The sequence below is a fragment of the Homo sapiens genome, chromosome 1 (assembly GCF_000001405.40).
Source record: "Homo sapiens chromosome 1, GRCh38.p14 Primary Assembly".
In the NCBI taxonomy this organism is placed as follows: Eukaryota; Metazoa; Chordata; class Mammalia; order Primates; family Hominidae; genus Homo; species Homo sapiens.
In genome coordinates this window covers 11674365-11691968 of record NC_000001.11, presented here as the reverse complement: position 1 = coordinate 11691968, position 17604 = coordinate 11674365, and the positions used below count along the sequence as shown (strand labels likewise).

Sequence of the window (17604 nt, the reverse complement as noted above, 5' to 3'; positions counted from 1 at the left end):
TCGGGACCCCGCGCACCCCGCCCCTGGGCGCGCCAGGTAGCCCACCTTTGTCCGGGCTCGCAGCCAGGTGGGGCGGGAGGGGCGGAGCCAGGGGCGGGCCGAGGCCGTGCCTTACCTGTCCGGCCGGCGGGTAGGGGGAGGAGGGGCTCGGGGCCGAGCGCCCGCGGGAGCCGAGCGCAGCCGAGGGCGAGCCGCGGAACGGGGCCGGCGTGGAGAGGTGCGCGGGCAGCCGGAGGATGTGCCCGGGCTGAGCGGGACTGGAAGGAAGGGGGAGTGGGCGGGCAGGAGGGAAGGGGGCGGGAGCGCGGGGAGGGGACAGAGGAGGGGCGGCGGGTGGCGGGCTCGACTGCCCCCAGCCGAGGGGCAGCCCCGGGGCCGGGCCCGGCGCGCACCCGGCCAGCGCGCCCTCGCCAGCTGCGCTCTGAGTTCTGGGCCAGCTCCCCAGAGGCCTAGGCGCCGCCGCCGCGAGGGCGCGGGGCAGACAAAGGAGGCAGACAAAGGCGGGCGCAGCCCAGCAGCCGTGCGGGCACCGGGCGAGGCAGGCCCACTCCTCCCGGTGCGTAAGAGCCGCCTCGGCGCGGCCCAGGGCGCGTGGGACGGGAGGGGCTCCGGCAGTTGTGGCGCCTCTGGAGCGGCCCCGCGCAGGGCGGGCGACAAAGGGCCGCGGCGGGCGGTCCTCGGTGGACCCCAACAATGGAGCGAGGCTGCGCGCTCAGCTGCGGCCGCGTCTGTCAGGGCAGGGGCCCGGGGCCACAAAAGGATTATTCCGCCTAGACTGTCAAAAGGGACGGAAGAAATGCCCAGGGCGGGGGAGGCGGGACGGGGAACGGCGGGGCCTTTGTAGCCGCAGAAAGTGCGCAGAGTGGGCAGGCGGGGTTCTCCGAGAGGTCGCTCCTGGATGTAGGGGTACAAAGGGTCTTCAAAGTGCTACCAGCTCACCTGGGGCGCTGACGGCGCACCTGTGCCCTCTTTCCCGGTAGGGAAGGGAGAAAGACAACCGCCCCAATACACACACACACAAACACACACACACACACACTCACACGCGGCGCGGCTCTCGCCACGCCCCGTCCAAAGCCGGCCTGAAGCTTCTCAGACCGGCCCAACCCGGACAAAGCCAGCGCTGGGGCCGGCTCATCCATCACCGCGCGGGGCGCCGTGTCCTGACGACCCTGGGAGTCTGAGAATGCTGGGTTATGGGTCCCGTGCCTCCCATAACTCACGACGGGGTCGGTGGGGCCACGGACGCTGCAAAGATCAAAGAGCGATGGGGCCGGACTCCCATATGTGGGAAGCAGCGCTCCCACCTGGCGCCCTGAGCTCGCCAGGTGGCTTCCATTTCGACTGTTTTCTTTCTCCAGCGTGTGGCAAATTATGACTTTGAGGTTTTAGAACACAGTTCTGCCGTCAGGCTAAATGTCTGTGTTCCTCTTCTGATGCCGTCCCCTATGACCTCGAGCAAGTCGCCTGACCTCTGAGCTCATGATTATACCTAAATTTCAGTGTTCTAGGCGTGAATGCAGTGCCCTGTGTAAGGAGATAACGTTTCTAAGGTCTGGCCCATAGGAAATGCTCCTGTAAAATTAGCTGCCATTGTTACCGTGATATTATTAGCTTGGTGGGCACCAGGATGGATTGATGAGAACACTGAACTGTTTATTCACTGAAAGGTTTGAGTCATCCATCCCATAAATACCTATTGAACACCTACTATGTGCCGGCACCGGAGGTACAGTAGTAAACAACATGGACAAGAATCCCTGCCCCCATGGAGCTCAGATTCTAGTGAAGGAGACAGAAGATAAGTGAACAAATAAATATAAATGATGTCAGGTGGTGATTAGTGCTATGAAGAAAAGTAAAGCACATTACAGACAAAGCATGAAGGGACGAGGTGTTGTTTTACATAAAGTTATTAGGAAAGGCCTCTTTGCTGGGGCAGTTCTTTTGGCAAAGAAAAGGAGGTAATGAGCCACGTGGTTGTGGGGAGAAGACTTGCAAGCAGAAGAGCCACTGCAAAGGTCCTGGAGCGGGAGTGTGCTTGGTGTGTTTGGTGGAGAAGAGTCAGTCTGGAACAGAGTGAGGTGACATCAGACAGGGAGCTGGGATAGGACCATGTTGTTACAGGAAAGGGGTCCTGACCCAGACCTCAGGAGAGGGTTCTTGGATCTCGCACAAGAAATAATTCAGGGCGAGTCCATAGAGTAAAAAGTTTATTAAGACAGTAGAGGAATAAAAAGAATGACTACTCCATAGACAGCACAGCACCAAGGGTTGCTGGTTGCCCATTTTTATGGTTATTTCCTGATGATGTGCTAAACAAAGGGTGGATTATTCATGCTTCTCCCCTCCCCCCGCCTTTTGTTTTTCTTTTTGAGAGGGAGTCTTGCTCTCACCCAGGCTGGAGTGCAGTGGCACAATCTCAGCTCACTGCAACCTCCACCTCCCGGGTTCAAGCAATTCTCCTGCCTCAGCCTCCCGAGTAGCTGGGATTACAGGTGCACACCACCATGCCCGCTAACTTTGTGTTTTCAGTAGAGATGGGGTTTCACCATGTTGGCCAGGCCGGTCTTGAACTCCTGACCTCAGGTGATCCACCTGTCTCAGCCTCCCAAAGTGCTGGGATTACAGGCTCGAGCTACAGCACCCAGCCTTTTTTTTTTTTTTTTTTTTTTTGAGACAGAGTCTCACTTTGTTGCCCAGGCTTGTATAGTGGCACAGTCTCGGCTCACTGCAACTTCTGCCTCCCAGGTTCAAGCGATTCATGCCTCAGCCTCCCAGTTAGCTGGGGTTACAGGCACACACCGCCATGCTCAGCTAATTTTTTGTATTTTTAGTAGAGACAGGGTTTCGCCATGTTGCCCAGGCGGGTCTCGAACTCCTGACCCCAGGCAATCTGCCTGCCTTGGCCTCCCAAAGTGCTAGGGTTACAGGGGTAAGCCAGTGTGCCTGGCCTTTGCTTCCCCTTTTTAGACCATATAGGGTAACGTCCTGATGTTGCCATGGCATTTGTAAACTGCCATGGCACTGGTGGGAGTGGAGCAGTGAGGATGACCAGAGGTTGGTCTCGTGGCCATCTTGCTTTTGGTGGGTTTTGACAGGCTTCCTTACTGCAAACTGTTTTATCAGCAAGGTCTTTATGACCTGTATCTTGTGCTGATCTCCTGTCTCATACTGTGACTTAGAATGCCTTAGCCATCTGGGAATATGGCCCAGCAAGTCCCAACCCCATTTGACCCAGCCCCTACTCAAGATGGGGTTGCTCTGGTTCAGACACCTCTAACAATGTGAGCCTGCAAAGGCCACAGGGAGGACTTGAGCTTTTTAGAGGGACCATGAGCAGAGCAGAGACATGATCCGACTTAGGTTTTTAGCAGGTTTGCTGATTGCTTTTTCTTTTTTTTTTTTGAGATGCAGTCTTGCTCTGTTGTCCAGGCTGGAGTGCAGTGGCGCGATCTTGGCTCACTGCAACCTCTGCCTCCCAAGTTCAAGCGATTCGCCTGCCTCAGCTTCCTGAGTAGCTGTGACTACAGGCACCTGCCACCATGCCTGGCTAATTTTTTGTATTTTTAGTAGAGACAGAGTTTCCCCATGTTAGCCAGGATGGTCTCGATATCCTGACCTCAGGTGATTCGCCAGCCTCGGCCTCCCAAAGTTCTGGGATTACAGGCATGAGCCACCGTGCCCGGCCACGTGTGCTGATTCCTAAGGTTGGGAGTAGTCTGCAGTGGGACAAGGGTGAAAGCAAGAGACCAGCTAAGTACTGTGGCAGAGAAGAGATGATGGTCACCTGGGCCTGGGAGAGGGGGCAGTGTGCAGCCAGCATGATTTGCGTCGCCAAGGATAGAGCTGTGGGCCAGTATTCATGAGCCAGGAGAAAAACCTTGGAGTCTCTGGTTCAAATGCTGCTACTGTGGCTGTCCCCTGGCTGGGTGATCTTCCGATGTGCTTGGAGCTGGGGTGACACAATATGAAAAGGTGGATGTTAGGAGAGGCCTGGACTCCTATCCCATCCAGTTTATGATGACTTTAGGGCCTCAGTTTCCTTGTCTGTAAAATGAGGTACTTGAGGGGCCAAAGCAGGCTCCAATATTCATCAACTGATGACTGGATAAGCAGATGTGGTCTATCCATACACGGGAGTATTTTGGTTCTACGAAGGAATGAAGTATCAATATGTGATTCGACCTGGATGAATCTTGAAAACATTATGCTAAGTGGAACAAGCCAGACATAAAAGACCATATTTTGTACAATTACTTTTATATGGAATGTTCCGTATTGGCAAGTCCAGGTCAGGCGCAGTGGCTCATGCCTGTAATCCTAGCACTTTGAGAGGGTGAGGCAGGAGGACCTCTTGAAGCCAGGAGTTGGAGACCAGCCTGGCAACATAGTGAGACCCCTTCTCTACAGAAAATTTTAAAAATTAGTCTGGGCGTGGTGGCTCATGCCTGTCATCCCAACACTTTGGGAGGCCAAGGTAGGTGGGTCACCTGAGGTCAGGAGTTCGAGACCAGCCTGGCCAATATGGCAAAACCTCATGTCTACTAAAAATTTAAAAATTAGCCAAGCGTGATGGAGGTCGCCTGTAGTCCCAGCTACTCGGGAGGCTGAGGCAGGAGAATCGCTTGAATCGGGGAGGCAGAGATTTCATTGAGCCGAGATTGCACCACCGCCCTCCAGCCTGGGTGGCAGAGAGAGACTCCGTCTCAAAAAAGAAATAAATGAAATAAAAATTAGCTGGGTGTGATGGTGCACACCTGTAGCCCCAGCTATTGGGGAGGCTGAGGTGGGAGGATCGCTTGAGCCCAGGAGGTTGAGGCTTCAGTGAGCTGTGATTGCGTCACTGCACTCCAGCCTAGATGACAGAGTGAGACCCTGTCTCCAAAAAATAAAATAAAAAAATAAAAAAATTGGACAATCCATAGAACAGAAAGTAGATTAGTAGTTTTGGAACTGATGTACCTGGCAACACACTTTGGGCATGAACAACCCTTCTCAAGACATCAGGAGTGATGAAAATGTTCCGAATTAGAGAGTAGCGATGTACAACATTGTAACTATACTAAAAATCACTGAATTGTACCCAGGGAAAATGTGAACTTTATGGTTTGTGAATTATATCTCCACAGAGAAGTTTTTTTTTTTTTTTTTTTTTTTTAAAGTGGCAGTTGAGCTGGATCAAAAGTTCTTACCTTGTGGCCCAGGATGGCTTCTGAATATATCTGGACACTCCTGATGTTGTGTAAGGCATTTAGTGTCTCTGGGCCGGGCGCAGTGGCTCAAGCCTGTAATCCCAACACTTTGGCAGGTGGAGGCGGGCACATCACTTGGGGTCAGGAGTTCGAGGCCAGCCTGGCCAACATGGCGAAACCCCGTCTGTACTAAAAGTACAAAAAAATTAGCTAGGCGCGGTGGCTTATGCCAGTAATCCCAGAGCTTTGGGAGGCTGAAGCAGGAACTCTGGAGGCCAAATGTTCAAGACCAGCCTGGGTAACACAGCGAGACCCTGTCTCTATGAAAAAAGAGCAGATGATCAGTAAGGTCCCCCTGACCACTGAGGGGTCAGCAACACTGGGAATCAGTAGAACCCCACGGAGGGAATGGCAGGTGAGGGCTTTGCTCTGGCTGAAGTGTCGGAAGCCATCTCAGGTCAGCAGTGAACCCTGGGATCTGGGACAGCTGTCCAGGTCAGGCCTCACACCAGAAGGCAGATGAGAGCGGAGAGGAGCTGTCAGCAGGAAGTCCTTGTCTTTAGGCATCTTGTTCCGTGATGATGCGTGTCCTCCCTAGGGCACCTTGGGAGTTGCCTGCTGCCTTGGGAAATGGAAATGGAGCTATGGGGATGCCGCTAAGGATGGTTTGGATGGGGTTTTGAAAAGTGTGACAGCTTGTCCAGAGGGTTTGTTCTGGGGGCTTAAATAGTGTATATAGACCTTAATATCATTGTCATAACAGTCATTAATTGAGCATTTATGTGCCAGGCATTGTGCACTTTATTTATTTGTTTATTTTTTGAGACAGGGTCTCACTTTATAACCCAGGTTGGAGTGCAGTGGTACAAACATGGCTCACTGCAGCGTTGATTTCCTGGGCTCAAGTGATCCTCCCACCTCAGCCCCCTAAGTAGCTGGGAATACAGGTGCACGCCACCATGCTCAGCTAATTTTTATATTTTTTGTAGAGTTTTTGCCATGTTGCCCAGGCTGGTCTCGAAGTCCTGAGCTCAAGTGGTCCGTCCACCTTGGCCTCCCAAAAAGCTGGGATTATAGGCGTGAGCCACCATGCCTGGCATTGTGCACTTTATATTTTTTATAAACATGAACATGGACATAAACATTTGCTCTTTGCTCAATCCTATGAAATTAGAACTACCATTATGCCATTTTACAGATGAGCAAACTGAGGTTCAGAGAAAGAAGGGCCTCGCAGCTGGTTAAGGGGCAGTGTTGGGGAGAGAAGCAGCAGGTTGGACACATGAGCAGGCCCAGTGGGTGCTGGGGACACCATAGGGAACATGCCACAGCCCTTGCTTTTGTTTTTGAAAATAGCTTTTCTCTGCATAGTGCCACCCATAGCCCGGGCACTGAAGTCGACGTGTTTTGCTCCTCATCCAGACTCAGTTGGGATTCAAGTCAGGCAAGTGGTAATGAGCCACTGTCCACCATCACTTCATTCCTCTGCCATTCATTCTTTCATTCACTCATTTGACACACATTTGCTGAGAACCTGAATTCGGGCTGGGCATGGTGGCTCAAGCCTGTAATCTCAGCATTTTGCGAGGGTGAGAGGCAGGAGGATCACTTGAGCCCAGGAGTTCGAGACCAGCCTAGGCAACATGGGGAGACCCTGCCTCTGCAAAAAATTTGAAAAATCAGCCAGGTGTGGTGGTGCACACCTGTAATCCTAGCTACTCAAGAGGCTGAGGTAGGAGGATCCCTTGAGCCCAGGAGTTTCAGGCTGCAGTGAGCTATGATTGCCCCACTGCACTCTAGCCTGGGTGACAAGGAGAGACCCTGTCTCTGGGAAAAAAAAAAAAAGAGAGAGAGAGAGAGAACCTGAATTTGGCCAGGCACTATATTGAAATAATGAATGAGGGCTGGGTCCCTGCCCCGGAGCATTGCAACTGGATGGGCCCCTGAGCGTCAGGATATCAGGAGATTGTCACCAGGCTATGTGTGTCTCACTCTGTATGTCCCCCATACCCATGTGATTGGTGTCCTGGGAACCTTAGGCAGGGTGGGAGAGCTGATTCATTCTGCCATCAGCCTGGTGGGGATGGGAGGGGTCTTGGAATCATTTCTGGGGTCTGGAAACTTCATTGCCCGGTTCACTCACTGTGGGTTTGTTCCATAAACCCCAGCAGTCCTCCTCTGCCCGAGCAGGTCTTCCTCTTTGCTGGGCTGGTGCTCACAGCTCACCTTCTCAGTTTCCATTTCAGTGTCTCTTGGGAGTGATTTTCCCTCCGTCCCCATCAGAGATCCTCAGGGACCTGCTCTAGTTGGCAAATAAACTCTTGCTCCCCCTAAACACCCATCCTTCCTTCCCAGCCGCCCTCCTACATATTGTCATTATGGTGAAAAATATGCAAATAACTTTGAACAACAGTCTCCCAGCAGACGGATGTTCAAAAATGTAATAAATTAACCCCATAATGTAATCTGGATCCCACAACCATCCATCATGCTGATGCGATTAAGATATGCAAAACCAGATGCTGAAGAGCGCATGGATGGAGTGTTGGCAGAGCTCCCCGGATGGGCCCATGCTGACTCGGCCCCCTGCCCCTGCCCCCGCCCCCATGGAACCTGAGGCCATCAGAGGTTTAGGGAACATCTATCTGGCCTGTTCATTTCACTAATGAGACTGAAGCCTTTTAGGGGTTTGGGGTCAGATGGGTTTGAATCCCTCCCCATCTGCTTCCTAACCCACCTTCCTTCTGTTTGTGATTGGATCTGAACCCAAGGCCCCAAACCCAGACTTTTTTTGTTTTTTTGAGATGGAGTTCTCGCTCTTGTTGCCCAGGCTGGAGTGCAATGGTGCGATCTTGGCTCACCACAACCTCCGCCTCCCGGGTTCAAGTGACTGTCCTGCCTCAGCCTCCTGAGTAGCTGGGATTACAGGCATGCGCCACCACACCTGGCTAATTTTGTATTTTTAGTAGAGATGGGGTTTCTCCATGTTGGTCAGGTTGATCTCAAACTCCTGACCTCAGGTGATCCACCAGCCTCAGCCTCCCAAAGTGCTGGGATTACAGGCGTGAGCCACCCACCGTGCCCAGCTGACGTTTTTTTTTAATTGCAATAATTTTTGGTTACATGGGTAAGTTATTTAGTGGTGACTGCTGAGATTTTGGTGCATCCATCACCTCAGCAGTGTACACTGTACCCAGTATGTAGTCTTTTGTCCCTCACCTTCCCACCCTTCCCTCACCTTCCCACCCTTCCTTCCCCCCGAGTCCCCAAAGTCCAATATATCATTCCTATGCCTTTGCATCCTCATAGGTTAACTCCCACTTACAAGTGAGAACATATGATATTTGCAAACCCAGATATTTTTATCCACAGGTTTCTAGTTGACAGGGTGGGTACTCCAGTGTCAAGAGCTGTTGGGACCTCAGTTTCCCCAAGGAAAAATGACAGTTGAGTTTATGTCCTCCAAGGTTTTTCTGACGTTCTTAGCTCTGTGTGTCAGGAGTTCTACGGGTGGCTCGTATTGTGTTTTCTCAGGGCAGAGGGCTGGGGCTGGGAGCTCATGGAGGGAGGGCCTGACTTGAGCCCCAATGCCCCTCACACTGTGTCCTGAAGGCCATCCCACAGGAGTCACTTGGCTCTCAGTTTCCCCACCCCAGGCCCCAGTCTGAAGGGCTCCTTTGCAAGGAGTTGCCCCCTATGACTGCCACTGCCTGTCACCAATGCAAAAGCTGCTTAAGCAGCCTCCAGAGAGGGAAAGGAAAGACCCTTGCTTTTCCCAAGTTCTGCAATGAGTCAGTCTCAAGGAGCCACGGAACTCTGTGTATAAGCCAGTGAGTTGCTTGGCCAGCTCTGTGTGGAAATGGCATGATGTGTGCAGGATCCCCATATCTTGAGAATGGTTGCTGTGCCCAGAATGTGCTGCCAAGTGCACCAGTTCCTAAAACAAAATCATCCATCCCTTTGGATGGATGATTTTACATCACAATTTTACAAAATGCATCGCATTTTTACAAAATGAAGATATTCTCTGGGAACAGTCCAAACCTCTGTGGTGATTCCCACACTTTGCTGGGCATCCGGGCCCCTGGGGAGCTTGTTAAAGGGCCAGTGCCCTGCTGTGCACCCCACCTCGATCAGGTTGCTCTAGGCAGCAGGGCAGCTGTGATTAATGGGCTCCTGGGGGATTCTGATGCAGATTTCCTAGGACTGCATTTGAAGAAATGTTTTGCTGACATTCCTAGCTTAATGGGTTACTTACAGGTTACTTTTTCTCTCCCCATTAGAAGTCTGGAAATGCAGGTTTGAAGGCATCAGGGGGCGGGGGGAGGGATCCAGGTCTTCTATAATGAGCTGTAAACGATAAACAAGTCTGGCTAGATCTGTGTCCAAACAGACGGATGGGACTAACAAGCTCTTACGTCCCTGGAGGTCACAGACAAAGTCCTCTTGGCTTCTGGTCCTGACTTGTTGCCCACTAACTCCGTAGCTGCTTCTCAGATCTTAGTTTTCTCACTTGTAAAATAAGGGGGCTGTAAATAAGTGGAAGCCCTGGTGTCAGAAGAGGCATCAGAGCTGGGTTTGTATTCCCACTGTGTGATTTTGGCGAATTAGAGAACGTTTCTGGGCCTGTTTAACCATCTGTAAAGTGGGGCTATAAAATGGAGACTTAGCTGCTAGGGTTAATGAGAGAATTAACGGAATCAGTGTTTGACACATAAGAAGTGCTCGATGTTAGTCATTATTTTTTATTATTTTAGTAATATCATCTCTGAGGGCCCTTACAGGACTTCCAGACCGAGTCCACGCCCCTGGGGGACTTGGGAGCAGTAAAATGTAGTGGCAGGAGGCACCTCGGCCATCGCCCACCCCACCAGCTGGGAGACTCGGGCAGGTTATTCACCCTTCTGCACCTCGCTTGACTTATCTGTATAAAGAGAACAGTCACAGTAACTGCCTCATGGAGTTACTCCCAGGACTGAGATAATCCACGGACACACTTAGCCCAGTGCCCAGCACTCGGCTGGAGCTCCAAAAAGGTCAGCTATTGTTATGAAGCGTAGGGCGGGGAGGGTTCATCCTCTTGGGCGGTCAGGCCAGGCTGCATTTAGGTACCCGGTGGGGGCGGAGCAGGGGCGACGCCGGTGCACGCCCTCTTTTTTTTATTTTTAAAATTTCACCCGGGCCTTGACAACCGGTACAATCCTGTCCTCCCCTGTTCCCGCCCCCGAGCCAGAGGATTCGCTTTTGCGTGGGCAGCTGCAGGGATGGTGACTCGGGCTAGCTCAGATGTGGCTGCCGTTAGTCCCCAGCTGCGCGCTCCCCCGTCCCTCCCCAGCCCTCTTCCGGCGCCTGCTAAAGCGAGAGAAATGCCCTCGGGGGAAGATATGTAGCGATCCAATGGAACGTGGAGATCAACGTTGTGTTTTCTTCGCGCCCACCCGAAGTTGAAGGGAGGTGGCGCGGCGGGTCTCAGCCCCTCCCGGACGCCGAGGCCCGGCCCCCGCCCCTCGGAGACCCGCCCCCGCATGCGGAACCGCCCTCTGCGAGGCCCGGTTTGGGCCGTGCGGGAATGGGCGTGGCCTGGGCGGGGCGGGCGCTAGGACCCACCGGAGCGCCGTGAACGTCACCGAGCGGCGCCGAGGCCCCGGGTTGAGCGGGAGGCGCGATCGGTCCGGTCGGTGGCTCCCCGCGGCGGGGCCGGGCCCGATCTCGGGCGGGAACCGAGCGCAGAGCCGGTACTGGGGGAGGGGAGAGGGGGCGGGATTCCCGCCGGGAGGGATCCGGCGTAGCAGGGGGCGGAGTCTTATTCCAACCCCGCTTCGCTTTCCGCATGTCCCGCTTTGCGCTCCCGGCCCTGGGCATCCCGCTGTTTCCCTCTGCGTCCGCGGCCCTGCCCTTTTCGGGGGCACAGCTGTGGTCTTTCCACCCCGCGAGACAGCGGGGCGAGGGGGCGCGGGCGGCCAGTGGATAGAGGCTGATGCCCCCAAGCACGGACGCCAGCGTGGGGGTGGAGGTTCTTCCAGCTGCCCTGAGCCTGTGCGAAGCGGGAGGTCCTTCCCCAGTTCCCACAGACTGTGGGGAGGGAAGAGACGGTGGAAGCGAGCGGGTTCTGGGCTCCTGGGTCTCTGGAACTACCCTCTGCCCTTGCCCCAACACTCAGGTAGCGGGAAGGATGACCACGCTCACACGACAAGACCTCAACTTTGGCCAAGGTAGGGAGGCTGGACCTGCGGGCCCGGGGGCGGGGGCGTCTGGGCCGGCGGGCTTCCTCGAGCGCGCCACCGGCTTGTGCCCCCCTGCAGTGGTGGCCGATGTGCTCTGCGAGTTCCTGGAGGTGGCTGTGCATCTCATCCTCTACGTGCGCGAGGTCTACCCCGTGGGCATCTTCCAGAAACGCAAGAAGTACAACGTGCCGGTCCAGGTGAGGCACGTCCCAGAACCACAGAGTGGGTACAGGGTGGACTTTTAAAAATTCTTTGGTCGGGCGCCGTGGCTCACGCCTGTAATCCTAGCACTTTGGGAGGCCGAGGCGGGCGGATCACCTGAGGTCAGGAGTTCGAGACCAGCCTGACAAACATGGTGAAACCCCGTCTCTACTAAAAATACAAAAATTAGCCGGGCGTGGTGGCCAAGGCCTGTAATCCCAGCTACTCAGGAGGCTGAGGCAGGAGAATCCCTTGAACCCAGGAGGCGGAGGTTGCAGTGAGCCGAAATTGTGCCACTGCATTCCAGCCTGGGTGACAAGAGCGAAACTCCGTCTCAAAAAAAAAAAAAAAAAAAAAAAAAAACCTCTTCCACTTCGGGCCAAGCCACCTCATTCCGCAGGGCCCTGCCCATGCCTTCCAATGCCTTCCAGTTCCAAAGTGGTGATGCCTACCCACCCCTCAGAAGAGAGTTCCCCTTGCCAGAAGTTAGGGACCAGGCCTGATAAGAGTTACCCCGGGGGTGGCCGGGCATGGTGGCTCACACCTGTAATCCCAGCACTTTGGGAGGCTGAGGCGGGCGAATCACAAGGTCAGGAGTTCAAGAAACCAGCCTGACCAACATGATGAGATCCTGTCTCTACTAAAAATACAAAAATTAGCCTGGTGTGGTGGTACGCGCCTGTAATCCCAGTTACTAGGGAGGCTGAGGCAGGAGACTCGCTTGAACCCGGGATGCAGAGGTTGAAGTAAGCCCAGATCGTGCCACTGCACTCCAGCCTGGGCGACAGAGCAAGACTATGTCTCCAAAAAAAAAAGTTACCCTGGGGGCATGGTGGCACTTTGAAGGAGCTCGTGAAGCTGGTGAACCTTGGTGTGAGGAGGGTATTTCCAAAAACCTCCAAATCTTCTCCCTACCATTTATCCTAAACTCAATGGGTTAAGGCTAAAAGGCAGACAAAGCAGTGTGCATCGCACTGTAGCTCCAGTCCCTAGAAGTGCCTGTCTCTGGAAGGCACTCAGGAAACATGAGAATAAGTGGTAGAAGCTCAAAGGACATCCAGGTGGTCCCCGCTTCAAGTCCCCACACCACCATTGTTTTCTCACTTCCAGTATGGTATTCAAGACATTACTTGAGGTAGTCAGCACTTTATTTTTTATTTTATATTTTATTTTATTTTATTTTTTGAGACTGAGTCTCGCTCTGTCGCCCTGGCTGGAGTGCAGTGGCGTGATCTTGGCTCACTGCAACCTCCACCTCCTGGGTTCAAGTGATTCTCCTGCCTCAGCCTCCCGAGTAGCTGGGATTACAGGCGTGTGCCACCACATCTGGCTAATTTTTGTATTTTTAGTAGAGACAAGGTTTCGCCGTGTTGGCCAGGCTGGTCTCGATCTCCTGACCTCTGGTGATCCACCTGCCTTGGCCTCCCAAAGTGCTGGGATTACAGGCGTGAGCACTTTATTATGAAACAGGTTTTGTGTTAGATAATGTTGCCCAACTGTGGGCTAATGTGTTTTGAGTGTGTTTAGGTAGGCCTGGCTAAGCTATGATGTTCTGTATGTTATGTGTATTAACTGCATTTTCCGCTGGCGATATTTGATTGGTTTATCCAAACATAAACCCATAGTAAGTTGAAGGTCACCTTTAGAGGGGAAAGGAAAAAACAATTGACATTTACTCACTTCTTCTTTATGATGAAGTGATTGAAGCCCAGAGAAGTTAAGGAATTTGCCTGAGGCCACACAGTTCCTTAGTTCTTAACTTTTGACATCTGATTACATTTTCCTGGATCCTTTTTCTGGAAAAATGCCCAAGTGCACAAAGATACAACTTTAGGGATTTTTCAGACTCTGGAGGAGTCCATGGACCCCACATTAAGAACCCCTAATGGTATATTAAATGCTCATATTGGGATTGAGTTCTTATCTTTCTTTTCCTTTGAGATGGAGTCTTGCTTTGTTGCCCAAGCTGGAGTGCAGTGGCTTGATCTCAGCTCACTGCAACCTCCGCCTCCCAGGTTCAAGTGATTCTCCTGCCTCAGCCTCCCAAGTAGCTGGGATTACAGGTGCCACCTCACCTGGCTAATTTTTGTATTTTTAGTAGAGATGGGGTTTTGCCATTTTGGCCAGGCTGGTCTCAAACTCCTGACCTCAGGTGATCCACCCACCTCATCCTCTCAAAGTGCTGGGATTAGAGGAGTGAGCCACTGTGCCCAGCCTGAGTTCTTATCTTCTAACTTCTTTCTCTATGGATAAGTTCACAGTTCTTAGCCTCTGGTTTTTTTTTTTTTTTTTGAGATGGAGTCTCGCTCTGTTGCCCATGTTGCAGTGCAGTGGCGTGATCTCGGCTCACTGCAACCTCCGCCTCCCGGGTTCAAGCGATTCTTTTGCCTTAGCCTGCCAAGTAGCTGGGACTAAGGTGCCTGCCACCATGCCCGGCTAATTTTTGTATTTTTAGTAGAGATGGGGTTTCACCATATTGGCCAGGCTGGTCTCGAATACCTGACCTTGTGATCCACCTGCCTCGGCCTCCCAAAGTGCTGAGATTATAGGCGTGAGCCACCATGCCCGGCCAGTTCTTAGCCTCTTGAGGGAAAGTGGGGTCTCCTGGGTAGGGAGCCCTGGAGAGCTGCTGGGCCTCGGACCGAAGGCAGATGGGGCCTTAGGCTCCTGGTTGTGTTGGGTGGTTTCCCCATCTGTGCTTTGGGCCTCACGAGCCGCATGGTATTGTGTGCAGATGTCCTGCCACCCGGAGCTGAATCAGTATATCCAGGACACGCTGCACTGCGTCAAGCCACTCCTGGAGAAGGTGAGGGTGCACTGGGCTCCCCAGCCATCTCACCCCATGCTCACCCCCGTCCCTGTGTGCTCACAGTCCAACTCTGGGATGGGGTGAAGCTAGGACTCTGTGGGGTCTTCATGGCTCCAATACCCAGAAGCCTGTTCCCTGCACTCTGGAGACCATCCCAACCCAGGGGCAGGCCCCAAGGCATGCGGGCCATGTTCAGGGTGCCTTGGGCCTGGGAGCCCGGGTTGGAGCTGGCTCTAAGTAGGGGCTGCCCCAGAGGGTTCGGGGTTCTTCTCACATCCGTCCCCTGTTCTCCACGCTAAACGTTCTGTCTGAGCTGAGCCCCTCAGGGTTTCTTCCCCATCTAGTCCTGATCTCAGACTTCCTGGGACCTTCCCTATGGGGCCCGGGCATTCTCTCAGCCTACACCACTCATGCTGGAGGGTGCCGGCTTCTCAAACTCGCTATCTGGCCTCTTGGGGACCCCCAGCCTAGCAGCTGAGCAGGGCTGTGAGTGGGCCGTTTCTCCTCCTTCCTTGGGCAAGGGGGTGGAGGCAGGGTGGTGTAGTCGGGGTGGGGTGCCTGGCTCTGCAGTGGGGGTTCCTCTCTTTGCAGAATGATGTGGAGAAAGTGGTGGTGGTGATTTTGGATAAAGAGCACCGCCCAGTGGAGAAATTCGTCTTTGAGATCACCCAGCCTCCACTGCTGTCCATCAGGTGGGCTGCCCCTGCCCCTCGCCCACTAGCTGGCATCAGGTGTGTCTCTGGCAACACACCCACCCCTTTAAGGCGGCCCTTGAATACCTTGGTAAAGGCCTGGGAGGAGAAAGGGCAAGAAGCACCAGCATGACAAGGGGACAGCCTGTGAGCAGCTGAGATGGGTCCAGAGAGATGACATGAGCTACCCAGGGTCACCTGGGTGGGGGCAGAGCCCAGGACACAGAAGCAGTTTTCTGACTCCCCAGGCAAGTGTCCAGTCAACTCGAAGTTGACCTCTGGCACATGCGTTAGTTGGTCAACTGCATGCTTCCAATGGTGAGGTCAGGGCACTGGAATCTGGCACCAACCTGTCCCCACGGCCTGTGTGGCCTTAGGCAAGCCCTTTCCCCTCCTGGCTTGGTGTCCTGGTTCTGGGTCCTGGCTGCACATTAAAACCACCTAGGGAGGCCTCCTCAGGCTGCCCCTACCTCCCCTGTCCCCTACCCCCCGCCGAATTCTGACTTTATCTGGGGTGGGGCTGGGCATTTCTTTTAAACTCCCTTGCTGGTTTAATTGTGTGGACCGGATAGGGAGCTGGGTCCTAGGCATGCAGCACTCTCACAGGCACTGGAGGGGGTCTTGTACCCCAGGTCTGCATCCAGGCTTGATGCCTGTGGTGGAGGGGAGGGCGCCAGTGTGATGGGAAGACCTCCTCTCACTCCCAGCTCAGACTCGCTGTTGTCTCATGTGGAGCAGCTGCTCCGGGCCTTCATCCTGAAGATCAGCGTGTGCGATGCCGTCCTGGACCACAACCCCCCAGGTGTGTCCACTCCCCACCCTCTCTTCCCTTGGCATTTCCATGGTTATCTCGGGTTGGTCTGTGTTCCCAGGTCCATGTTTGGCTGTTCTGAGACTCATCTCTTCCTAACCCTGAGAGTCCACCTCCTCTGGGAAGCTTCCCTGATTGATTCTACCTGGCTTCCATCTCCCTATTGACTGGGGCTTTTCTTAGCACTTGCTTTGCCATCTGCTCTGGGGGTGCTGCTGAGCCAGCAAGGGAAGTGGGAAGAGGCTGGGCCCAGTGGCTGGCACCAGGGCGGTGGGGGAGCCTCCACCAACCTCTTGCCTCTCCAGGCTGTACCTTCACAGTCCTGGTGCACACGAGAGAAGCCGCCACTCGCAACATGGAGAAGATCCAGGTCATCAAGGTGAGATGAGATGGGTCTGGGTCTGGGCGCAGGCTCTAGAAACGTGATGTCGCAGTTCCAGGCGGGCAGGGGCACTGCCTGTGGCCAGCCACCCATTACATTGGTGTGGCAGCGCCTGGCACCCAGCAGGTCCTCAGGCCTGTCCACTGCTCCATCTGGGCACTTGGGGCAGTGAGGAGCCCAGGTGGAGCCACCTACTGGGGCCCCCAGCTCATCCTGGCTCTTCTGAAGTGGGGGCTCTCCAGGGAGGGGTCCTAGCCCACCAGGTTCAGCGTTGGTGCCTGGAGCCTGTTCGTCACTTGGGTTCTATGGACTTGGCCTCTGTGGGGGATGGGGGCGGTCCTGGGGTCTGCATCACCAACAGCTTCCTAGTGATTCTGAGGCTCAGGTTGGAGGCCCCTGGTCTGGAGTGGGAGGGACAGCAAAGTGAGGGCAGGCCAGGGCCCAGCCCCGTCACCCCCCTGACCTTTGTCTCCTCCCTAGGATTTCCCCTGGATCCTGGCGGATGAGCAGGATGTCCACATGCATGACCCCCGGCTGATACCACTAAAAACCATGACGTCGGACATTTTAAAGGTGAGCTTCGTGGGGACCCGGGAAGCTTTATTTAGGGGCTGCTTAACGAAGTGAGGCCCGGTGCTGAGGCCTTACTAGAGGGCTTGCGGGAGAGAACGGGGGAGTGCCTGGTGGAGGGCTCCTCCCATCTCTACTCTTCTCCACCATGGCTATGGCCACGAGGCCCCACCTGTGGTGGAGGTCTGCCCACCAGGGGCTTCTGTGTCCTCCAGCAGGGATGCCCTGGCTGTCTTGCTGACTGTGGCTGTTTGCTTGTGTCCGTCAGATGCAGCTTTACGTGGAAGAGCGCGCTCATAAAGGCAGCTGAGGGGGCACCTGCCACCCCACTGATGCCCAAACTGTCAGACTTTGGGGGATCCCCGCCTAGGGCAGTGCTGCATGGCTGCCCTGATTCCAAGTGCTCTTATCGCCTCTGTGTGTGGATCGCCCGCCCCAGCCCGGGGCCGCTCAGGTCTGCTTGGAGGATGCCTCCCCCAGGAGGGCAGTGAGGGATGCCGCAACCTCGACTTCTCAGCCTCCTGGGGTTCCGCCGGCCAACACTGTCTGTCTCAAATACTGTGCTGTGAGTTGTTTCAATAAAGGGGCCCCAAGGGCTGGGCTGAGCTGAGCCATCATTAACTGGAGTGGGAGGGACAGGTATGGCCAGGGTAACCTGGGAGAGGGGCTGCTTCTCCACCAAAATGCCAGGGACCCCCTCTCCCCACTCCTAAAACCAAC

At 54.4% G+C, this 17604-nt stretch overlaps 2 protein-coding genes across 5 annotated transcripts in view, besides 6 other annotated features; one reads left to right on the top strand and one right to left on the bottom strand.

Annotated features, from left to right (window-relative positions):
• DRAXIN (dorsal inhibitory axon guidance protein) overlaps positions 1 to 5334 on the bottom strand; it is a 39223-nt gene extending 33889 nt beyond the window's left edge. Inside the window, exons 1-2 of one of the 2 annotated variants that reach the window (XM_017001215.2) lie at positions 5196 to 5334; positions 3791 to 3955 (exon numbers count right to left, since the gene is read on the bottom strand). In XM_017001215.2, the coding sequence (XP_016856704.1) occupies positions 3791 to 3955; positions 5196 to 5254 (224 nt within the window). In that variant the 5' untranslated portion in view covers positions 5255 to 5334. Of the gene's footprint in view, positions 1 to 115; positions 260 to 3790; positions 3956 to 5195 lie in introns of those variants that run through there. The other variant, NM_198545.4, reaches the window with a different exon arrangement.
• MAD2L2 (mitotic arrest deficient 2 like 2) lies at positions 139 to 17489 on the top strand. 3 transcript variants are annotated; one of them, XM_047430782.1, is made up of 9 exons: positions 139 to 217; positions 11356 to 11407; positions 11498 to 11616; positions 14355 to 14426; positions 15021 to 15121; positions 15829 to 15923; positions 16238 to 16311; positions 16795 to 16887; positions 17153 to 17489. In XM_047430782.1, the coding sequence occupies exons 2-9, from the start codon at positions 11368 to 11370 to the stop codon at positions 17192 to 17194; spliced, it is 636 nt and encodes a 211-aa protein (XP_047286738.1). In that variant the 5' UTR covers positions 139 to 217; positions 11356 to 11367; the 3' UTR covers positions 17195 to 17489. The 3 variants fall into 3 exon arrangements, with proteins under 3 accessions (XP_047286738.1, NP_001120797.1, NP_006332.3); NM_001127325.2 differs by lacking the exon at positions 139 to 217 and adding an exon at positions 410 to 556; NM_006341.4 differs by lacking the exon at positions 139 to 217 and adding an exon at positions 10821 to 10930.
• Positions 944 to 1451: an enhancer, noted in NCBI's record as "H3K27ac hESC enhancer chr1:11750575-11751082 (GRCh37/hg19 assembly coordinates)". NCBI's record gives its function as "activates a minimal SCP1, AML or CMV promoter by ChIP-STARR-seq in naive H9 embryonic stem cells {active_cell/tissue: H9 hESC(naive)}" and the evidence as "EXISTENCE:reporter gene assay evidence [ECO:0000049][PMID:30033119]".
• Positions 1452 to 1961: an enhancer, noted in NCBI's record as "H3K27ac hESC enhancer chr1:11750065-11750574 (GRCh37/hg19 assembly coordinates)". NCBI's record gives its function as "activates a minimal SCP1, AML or CMV promoter by ChIP-STARR-seq in naive H9 embryonic stem cells {active_cell/tissue: H9 hESC(naive)}" and the evidence as "EXISTENCE:reporter gene assay evidence [ECO:0000049][PMID:30033119]".
• Positions 6825 to 7325: an enhancer, noted in NCBI's record as "H3K4me1 hESC enhancer chr1:11744701-11745201 (GRCh37/hg19 assembly coordinates)". NCBI's record gives its function as "activates a minimal SCP1, AML or CMV promoter by ChIP-STARR-seq in primed H9 embryonic stem cells {active_cell/tissue: H9 hESC(primed)}" and the evidence as "EXISTENCE:reporter gene assay evidence [ECO:0000049][PMID:30033119]".
• Positions 8275 to 8856: an enhancer, noted in NCBI's record as "H3K27ac-H3K4me1 hESC enhancer chr1:11743170-11743751 (GRCh37/hg19 assembly coordinates)". NCBI's record gives its function as "activates a minimal SCP1, AML or CMV promoter by ChIP-STARR-seq in primed H9 embryonic stem cells {active_cell/tissue: H9 hESC(primed)}" and the evidence as "EXISTENCE:reporter gene assay evidence [ECO:0000049][PMID:30033119]".
• Positions 10480 to 10999: a silencer, noted in NCBI's record as "silent region_271". NCBI's record gives its function as "represses an Ori minimal core promoter by ATAC-STARR-seq in GM12878 lymphoblastoid cells {active_cell/tissue: GM12878}" and the evidence as "EXISTENCE:reporter gene assay evidence [ECO:0000049][PMID:35858748]".
• Positions 11440 to 11499: a silencer, noted in NCBI's record as "silent region_270". NCBI's record gives its function as "represses an Ori minimal core promoter by ATAC-STARR-seq in GM12878 lymphoblastoid cells {active_cell/tissue: GM12878}" and the evidence as "EXISTENCE:reporter gene assay evidence [ECO:0000049][PMID:35858748]".